Genomic DNA, 9,587 nt, shown 5'->3' on the forward strand with positions numbered 1-9,587 from the left:
TAATGATAAGGTATTCCACCTCTGTTTTCTTTGTGTGTCTTCTGTTCCCCCACTTTAATAGTGGAAGTTCCTCAGAATCCAGTTTAAGTCTTTTTTCCCTCTCTGCTTGCTCCCCACATGACAGCCTTCATTTTTGGCGTTTCCATTGCTTAGTTATGAACTTCCAGATATCATATTCCTTGGAAACTGCAAACTCATATATCTGACTTGCAATGTACATTTTCAATTACATGTTGAAAGTCAGTTTATAGAGAGTACCTCTACTTTTATTTGCAGACATTTCTTAATCTATGTTCTGCTAAGAGGAATTCATTTTTTTTTACTTCCTCACATTACAGCAGTTAGTATAACCGATATTAATTCAGCATTATTATTGTTTTTAGATTTCTTTCCTGACAAAAATCAAAGATACAAGAGAACAAGAACTGTATTTTTTATGTTCACGTTTATATCATGAAGGCAACAGATAACCTGGTATAGAAAAATATATTTTTCTATAACTTGAATAAAATTATGATAGGTAACTTACTTAAATCATCTATTTTTAAGTCAGGTTATACAGTCAGGCTTGGCATTTAATCTTAAAAAATAAACAAACACAAGAAATTTTGTATAGTAAAAATTTAATGAAAAAGGAAATTAATATATTGGCTAAATATGAAGAACATATTTGTTACATTAACCACAATGTAAAGGTACATATGATATTACATAAAAAATAATTTAAATAATAAAAATAGTTAAATAAATAAATATTTAAATAAATAGATGAAAGGAGACATCAGAATGGTCATCTGTAAAGGACTAGTGCCTGCACAGGTAAACACGATGCTTCTTAACACTCCTGAAAACATTTGGAAATTTTGATTCAACTTGTGGTGGTTATAGAAGTGAGTCTTTGAAATGGAAGAACTCATGAAAGTGTGAGATGATGCATTAGTCAATGAGAATCATTTCCATGATGAACCAGTTTTCAATCCTTCCTCCTTAATCCTTTTTTCAAGTTTGTTGAAAAAGAGAAGGATCTCATGATTTCTGCTCTGACAACCTCCCAGGCACAAGGGCTGTATTTCTTCTCCATTAGATAAAGAGTGATTCTTTGGAAGTATTTCCTCACAGCCAGGATGAAGTCCTCATTCATCAGGGGAGTCTCTTCCACCCCAACCTCCTGTATCACACATGCTTCCAGGTCATTCAGTTGCTGGTAAAGTTCAGTGGAAAATTTTTCTAGGAGGCTCTGTTCCCAAGCAGCAGATGAGTCCTCTGTGCTGAAGAGATTGAAGGTCTGCTGGATCATCTCATGGAGGACAGAGATGGCTTGAGTCTTCTGGAACTGGTGGCCATCAAACTCCTCCTCTGGGAATCTGAATTCATGTCTGTCCTTCAAGCAGGAGAAAGGAGAGATTCTTCCCATTTGTGCCAGGAGTATCAAGGCCCTCCTATTACGCAGGCTGTGGGTCTGAGGCAGATCACAGCCCAGAGAGCAGATGGATTTGTAGCTGAGTACCAGCACGACCATCAGTAAAGAAAAGGACCGGGCCATTGGGATTTTGCAAATATCACTAGGCTACCTGAGGTGGGTAACTTGAACCGTGGCCTCTAGGTTTTCTGGAGACTTTGCTCTGTGCATAGGTCTTAAATAGTGAACATACTAATTTCCATTTTCTAAATGCCCTAGTTTTACTTTCTATCTCTGTTTTTGCTTTCTTTATGTACTCTCTCCATGTGTTTAAAGACGTTTTTCATTTTTTTTTTCATCATTGCCTGTTTTTCCCCTGCACTCAAAGCCTTTTATGGTATTTTTTTCTAATTGAAATGTTCATGAAATTTTAATAACACAGATTTGGCATATCTATTTAGGTATTCTACATATACCTCTACTTCACAGATAAAAAGTATGAAGTTTGCTCTTTTTATTCAAAGTAAGTTAAGAATGACAGAAAAGTTAAACTAAAATCTAAGTTTAAAAGCTATTAAAATCTAAGTTTAATTAGATAAGTATATTTGTGGAATAACTTTTAATGTAATTTGTTCATGTAAATTTTGTTGTTTCAAATTACATATGCAAAATAAAAATCTGTATAATACACATTAATATGAATGTAATTACATACCTAATCATTCAAAACTGCTAGAAATATGAATCAATTTTAAAAAAATTTTCTCATAGTATATGAAGCTTTGAATTTTGCTTTATATGAGAAAATAATTTGTAAACTTCACTAGCTGCAGTATTCATCCAGATATTGCCAACACTTTTTTCTTTTCAGCACTTGACATAAGTACTGATGTGTTGAATAACTTTTGTAGAAATAAATCATATAATATAGGCTATTTGCATTGAATTCTCAAAGTGTACAAAACATCCTGAAGAACTGAGGATCAAACATAACTAATAACCATAAGATAGTCAATGGCAGCACAAAGGTAGGCAGGTTAAAGCCACATATTGTGGTAAGACTTCAAGATCCAGCAAAAAAATTGACAAAAAGTCCTCCAATCACAGTCATCTATTTGCCATAGGTTTGTAACGTTGATCTTGCAAATATTTTGTTTATCATCATGAACTCAATACCAGTGCTTCTCATATCATACACAAGAAAACCCAACGAGAAAGATGTATATTAAGCAATGAAATTTTGTTGGATAGAGTTCTTGGAGAGTTACAAACTTTTGCAATATGTCAGATTTGTTTACACTACGAGAACTAATTTTTGTACCCTTAGAAGAAGTATCATTCCAATAAACATATGTGACTTAGAAAATATTATCAATTAAATCATTTTTGGCATTTTTCATTGAAGTTCATATTCCCTAAAGGTTTTCAGAAGTTCCTATCCAAGTCAATTCTTATCAAATATAAAAGACCATCTTTGTTCTAAATTCATAAATTTATAAATATTGAATATTATTATGTAAGGAATTAACTTTCAGAGTGGTCCTGAACTCTGGCAAAGTTAGTTTGCCTCGGCCCTATAGATACTGAGTCCTTAAATGGAATGAGGTCTGTTTTAGCAAATCAGCTATTTAGTAGGTGGAGTTTTTCCTAGTTTCTCATTTTTTCTTCTAATGGAAGGTGTTCAAGAATGAAGCTGTTTTTCTTCATCATGGCCATATTTGGGATTGTAATAGACAATGACAAAAATTTCCATTCAGCTTTTAGTGAAAATCAGTAATGCCCATTTAGTTTACTGCTAAAACCACTGGGGTTCTAGTTTTTTAAGGTGCATGTAGATCTGGGGATTCAAGTTGCAAGAGCAGCATAATATCATCCTTTGCCTGGCACTATATTAACTATTTATGACTTCATCTCTAATCCTCCCTCTACTTTGTTATAATAGAAAATAAATAGCCTGGTGTCAAATACAGAGTCACATATTGAAATTCAAACTCTCCAATTCACACAGTTTGTAGGAATCAGACAATTTACTATTCCCAAAAGTAGGGAATAATAGTCTCTGTCCCCCAAATAATCCTACAGCTTCAGTAGGATTAAAAAAATTGAAGCACAATTTTTTTAATCCATTCTATCATTGATGGGCATTTGGGTTGGTTTCCTGTCTTTGCTATTGTAAATAGTGTTGCAATAAACATACACGTCCATGTATTTTTATAATAGAATTATTTGTATTCCTTTGGGTATATACTCAGGAATAGGATTGCTGGGTCTAATGGTATTTCTGGTTCTAAATCCTTGATGAATCGCCACACTGTCTTCCACAATGGTTGAAGTAATTTACATTCCTACCAACAGTGTAAAAGCTTTCCTATTTTTCCACAGCTTCACCAGCATCTGTTGTTTCCTGACTTTTTAGTAATTGCCATTCTGAGTGACATGAGATGGCATCTCATTGCAGTTTTGATTTTCATTTCTCTAATGATCAGTGATGTTGAGCTTTTTTCATGTTTATTGGCCACATAAATGTCTACTTTTGAGAAGTGTCTGTTCATGTCCTTTGCCCACTTTTCGATGGGGCTTTTTTTTTTTTGTGAATTTGTTTAAGTTCTTTGTCCATTCTGGATATTAGACCTCTGTCAATTGGGTAGGCTGTAAAAATTTTCTCCCATTCTGTAAGTTGCCTGTTCACCATGATGATTGACAGTTTCTTTTGCTGTGCAGAATCTCTTTAATTAGATGCCATTTGTCAATTTTAGCTTTGGTTGCAGTTGCTTTTGGCGATTTCATCATAAAATCTTTGCCCATGCCGATGTCCTGAATGCTATTGCCTACGTTTTCTTCTAGGGTTTTTATGGTTTTGGGTTTTACATTTAAGTGTTTAATCCATCTTGCATTAATTTTTGTATAAGGTGTAAGGAAGGGGTCCAGTTTCAGTTCTCTGCATATGGCTATCCAGTTTTCCCAGCACCATTTATTAAAGAGGGAATCCTTTCCCCATTCCTAAAGTACTCAGAAAGAGATTATCTTTTCCAGTTTCCAATTTTATTTTATGAAAAAATGTGTCAGTTTTTACTGACATTTAACAGAGTATTAATCAAAATAATGATCAATTACTATTGTAAATAATTTTACATTTTATGCTTTAAATATATAAATTATTAAATGTATTAATATGATTCACCAATGCATCACAATTATGAAATTTATTCAGTGACATATATTTTCAAAAAGGAAACACTATGCAGATAAAAGATAATCCACATTTTTGGGGGTCCAAACTTATTACTTGCCACCATTGCAAAGGCAGTTTTCTCACATTTTCTGTATGTGTTATCTTGATTTCTCTTTTCTGAGTCACTCTTCTGTCTACCCCAGTATGGCTTCTGCTGATTAATTCTATGAATCCAGCTCTCAGTAAGCTCTGCATTGCCATCTATTTTCTTGCTGTAGTGCTCAGTTTTAATTCACATTTTCCATAAGTTTATTGATTCCTTTTCTAAGCACATTTATTTTCTAAATACACTTTTATCACCATTCCCTCTTGTCCTTCTAATGTTAAGGTATTCCACCTCTGTTTCCTTTGTGTCTCTTCTGTTCCCACACTTTAATGGTGGAAGATCCTCAGAATCCAGTTTAAGTCTTTTTTTCCCTCTCCACTTGCTCCCCATATGACAGCCTTCATTTGCGTCCTTTCCATTGCCAGTTATGAACTTCCAGATATCGTATTCCTTGGAAACTGCAAATTCACATATCTGACTTGCAATGTACATTTTCAATTACATGTTGAAGTCAGTTTACAGAGAATATCTCTGCTTTTATTTCCAGATATGTCTCAATCTACATTCTGCTAAGAGGAATTCATTGTTTTTTTACTTCCTCACATTATAGCAGTTAGCATCACTGATATTAATTCAGCATTATTATTGTTTTTAGATTTCTTTCCTGAAAAAATCAAAGATACAAGAGAACAGGGACTGTATATTTTATGTTCACGTTTATATCCTGAAGGCAACATATAACCAGGTACAGAAAAAAATATATTTTTATAACTTGAATAAAATTATGATAGGTAACATAATTAAATCATCTATTTTTAAGTCAGGTTGTAAAGTCAGCCTTGGCATTTTATCTTAAAGAATAAACAAACACAAGAAATTTTGTATAGTAAAAATTTAATGAAAAAGGAAATTAATATATTGGCTAAATATGAAGAACATATATTGTTACATTAACCACAATGTAAAGCGACTCATGATATTACATAAATTTTAAAAATAATTAAATAAATATTTAAACAAAAGATGAACAGAGACATCAGAATGGTCATCTGTAAAGGACTAGTGCCTGCACAGGTATACACGACACTTCTTTACACTGCTGAAAACATTTGAAAATTTTGATTCAACGCGTCGTGGTTATAGAAGTGAGTCTTTGAAATGGAAGAACTCATGAAAGTGTGAGATAATGTATTAGTCAATCAGGATCATTGCCATGTTGAACCAGTTTTCAATCCTTCCTCCTTAATCTTTTTTGCAAGTTTGTTGAAAACGAGAGGGATCTCATGATTTCTGCTCTGACAACCTCCCAGGCACAAGGGCTGTATTTCCTCTCTATTAGATAAAGAGTGATTCTTTGGAAGTATTTCCTCACAGCCAGGATGGAGTCCTCATTCATCAGGGGAGTCTCTTCCACCCCAACCTCCTGTATCACACATGCTTCCAGGTCATTCAGTTGCTGGTAAAGTTCAGTGGAAAATTTTTCTAGGAGGCTCTGTTCCCAAGCAGCAGATGAGTCCTCTGTGCTGAAGAGATTGAAGGTCTGCTGGATCATCTCATGGAGGACAGAGATGGCTTGAGCCTTCTGGAACTGGTTGCCATCAAACTCCTCCTGGGGGATTCGGAAATCATGTCTGTCCTTCAGGCAGGAGAAAGGAGAGATTCTTCCCATTTGTCCCAGGAGTATCAAGGCCCTCCTATTACCCAGGCTGTGGGTCTGAGGCAGATCACAGCCTAGAGAACAGATGGATTTGTAGCTGAGCACCAGCACGGCCATAAGTAAAGAAAAGGACAGGGCCATTGGGATGTTGCAAATATTGCTAGGCTACTTGAGATGGATAACCTTGAACTTCGGCCTCTAGGTTTTCTGAAGACTTTGCTCTGTGCATAGGTCTTAAATAGTGAACATACTAATTTCCATTTTCTAAATGCCCTAGTTTTACTTTCTATCTCTGTTTTTGCTTTCTTTATGTACTCTCTCCATGTGTTTAAAAAGTTTTTCATTTTTTTTCATCATTGCCTATTTTTCACCTGCACTCAAAGCCTTTTATGGTTTTTTTTTAATTGAAATCTTCATGAAATTTTAGTAACACAGATTTGGCATATCTATTTATGTATATTACGTATACCTCTACTTCACAGATAAAAACTACAAAGTTTGCTCTTTTTATTCAAAGTAAAGTTAAGAATTACAGAAAAGTTAAACTAAAATCTAAGTTTAAAAGCTATTGACATTTATTTTAATTTGATAAGTATATTTGTGGAATAACTTTTAGTATAATTTGTTCATGCAAATTTTGTATCAAAGTACATATGCAAAATAAAAATCTATATAATACACATTAATAATATGAATGTAGTTACCTACCTAATCATTCAAAACTCCTAAAAATATGAATCAATAATTTTTTAAAATTTTTCTCTTAGTGTATGAAGCTTTGAATTTTGCTTTATATGAGAAAATAATTTGTAAATTCACCAGCTGCAGTATTCATCCAGATATTGCCAAAACTTTTTTCTTTTCAGCACTTGACACAAGTACTGATGTATTGAATAACTTTAGTAGAAATAAAACATATAATGTAAGCTATTTGGATTGAATTCTCAAAGTCTACCAAACATCCTGAAGAACTGAGGATCAAACATAACTAATAACTATAAGATAGTCAATGGCAGCCCAAAGATATGCAGGTTAAAGCCACATACTGTGATAAGACTTTAAGATCCAGCAAAAAATGGACAAAAAGTCCTCCAATCACAGTCATCTATTTGCTATAGGTTTGTAACATTGGTCTTACAAATATTTTGTTTATCTTCATGAACTCAATACCAGTGCTTCTCATATCATACACAAAAAAACCCAATGAGAAATATGTATATTAAGCAATAAAATTTTGTTGGATAGAGTTGTTGGAAAGTCAGAAACTATTGTAATATGTTAGATTCATTTACACTACGAGAACTAATTTTTGTACCCTTAAAAGAAGTATCAATCCAATAAACATATATGACTTAGAAAATAGTATGATTTAAATCATTTTTGGCATTTTACATTGAAGTTCATATTCCCTAAAGGTTTTCAGAAGTTCCTATCCAAGTCAATTCTTATCAAATAAAAAAGACCATCTTTGTTCTAAATTCATAAATTTATAAATATTGAATATTATTATGCAAAGAAATAACTTTCAGCATGATCCTGAACTCTGGCTCTAACTTTTTTTTTTTTTTTTTTGTGTAAGAAGTTTTTTTTTGTATAAGTAGGCCCTATAGATACTGAGTCCTTAAATGGAATGAGGTCTGCTTTAGCAAATCAGCTATTTAGTAAGTGGAGTTTTTACTAATTTCTCATTTATTCTCATTTTTAAATGGACTATACAATGGTTCTATATGGCATTCACAACAGCAAATATATTTATATTTCTCACTTAACTTTTCCTAGAAGGTAAAAGTGGTCTGATTTTCATCTTAATTTATGGGAACAAAAAGAAAACAAATGTATGTCTAAATGTGATAAACATGTAAGAGGAGAAATACCTAATGTAAATGACAAGTTAATGGGTGCAGCAAACCAACATGGCACATGTATACCTATGTAACAAACTTGCACGTTGAGCACATTTAACCTGGAACTTAAAGTATAGTACAAAAAAAAAAAAGATGACCAGAGGGGAACTTAGAAAATATCTTGAGAGAGGTGAAAATGAAAACACAACATACCAAGACGTATGTGATGCAGTGAAAACAGAGCTAAAGGGGAAATTGAAAGCTGTAAAAGCTTATATTAAAAAAGAAGAAAGACCTCAAACCAATGAACTAACTTTACAAGTTAAGGAACTAGAAAAGAAGAAATAAACACACAGCTAGGAAGAGGAAGAAAATAAGAAAGACTAAAGCAGACCCCAGGTCTTCATCCTTACTTCTCAGTCCTTGCAAGTCTGTTGATGAAGAGAAGGATTTCATGATTCCACTCTGACAACCTCCCAAGCACAGTCACTGTATTTCTTCTCTTTCAGGTAGATTCTCTGGATTCCCATGGATTCCCTGGAAGTACCTCCTCAAGGCCAGTGTAGGGCCCCAAACACCCCCACAGATTCTTCCTCTCCTGTTGCCTGCCCTAAGCAAGACTCCAGGCATTCGAGCTGCTGATGAAATCCAGTGTGGAGCTGGTCCAGGAGGGTCATGTTCCAGGCAGCAGAGGAGCGCTCTGTGGGGAAGAGGCTGAAGATCTGCTGAAGCATCTCATGGAGGACAGACAGGGCCTGGGCCTTCTGCAACTGGCTGCCATCCACATCTCCAGGGGGAACCTGAAGTCTCTTCTGTCCTTGAGACACAAGAAAGTGGAGATTCTGCACATTTGGCCCAGAAGTGCCAAGGTGTTCCTGCTAAGTAGGCCACGGTTCTGAGGCAGGTCAAAGCCCAGAGATCCAACAGGGCCACAGTGGCAAAGCAGCAGGGCCACCAGTAGAACAAGCAGTAGGACCATTGGGAAACGAGGGTGCTGCTGGCCTAGCTGAGCTGGGGTCGGGATGAACCCCGCACTCCAGGTTCTCTCAAGGCATTCTTTTTATATGCATGGCTTATAGCTGGAAACAAATAGTTTTCAGGATTGGCCAAGATGGCCGACTGGAACCTGCTAGTGTGTGCCACTCTCATGGAGAGAAATGGAAGGGGCAAGTAAATACAGCACCTTCAACTGAAACAACCACGTACACACATTGAGACTCAAGAAAACAACTTGACCCATGGAGAATAGAGCAAAGTAAGGCAGGACAACTGCCCCCCCAGGAGTGACACAGAGCCAGGGGAGCCTCTCCTGCCCAGGGAAGTGGTGAGTAAGTGAGCAGCCCTGGGGACCCACGCTTCTCCCACAGATCTTTGCAATCCTCAGGTCAGGAGATCTCCTAGTGAACCCA

At 35.2% G+C, this 9,587-nt stretch overlaps 2 protein-coding genes and 1 pseudogene across 2 annotated transcripts; all 3 read right to left on the reverse strand.

The window, feature by feature from the left end:
• Positions 1-846: 846 nt before the first annotated feature.
• IFNA7 (interferon alpha 7) lies at positions 847-1,583 on the reverse strand. Its single transcript, NM_021057.2, has one exon. The coding sequence runs from the start codon at positions 1,541-1,543 to the stop codon at positions 974-976; it is 570 nt and encodes a 189-aa protein (NP_066401.2). The 5' UTR covers positions 1,544-1,583; the 3' UTR covers positions 847-973.
• Positions 1,584-5,558: 3,975 nt separating this feature from the next.
• On the reverse strand, positions 5,559-6,521 carry IFNA10 (interferon alpha 10). Its single transcript, NM_002171.2, has one exon. It carries the CDS (start codon positions 6,473-6,475, stop codon positions 5,906-5,908), a length of 570 nt encoding a protein of 189 aa, NP_002162.1. The 5' UTR covers positions 6,476-6,521; the 3' UTR covers positions 5,559-5,905.
• Positions 8,551-9,277, reverse strand: IFNWP18 (interferon omega 1 pseudogene 18; annotated as a pseudogene).

Source organism: Homo sapiens, chromosome 9 (genome assembly GCF_000001405.40).
Source record: "Homo sapiens chromosome 9, GRCh38.p14 Primary Assembly".
Taxonomy (NCBI): domain Eukaryota; kingdom Metazoa; phylum Chordata; class Mammalia; order Primates; family Hominidae; genus Homo; species Homo sapiens.

Coding starts and splice junctions, on each gene's coding strand:
- IFNA7 (NM_021057.2), bottom strand. CDS start 1,543: ATGGCCCGGTCCTTTTCTTTACTGATGGTCGTGCTGGTACTCAGCTAC.
- IFNA10 (NM_002171.2), bottom strand. CDS start 6,475: ATGGCCCTGTCCTTTTCTTTACTTATGGCCGTGCTGGTGCTCAGCTAC.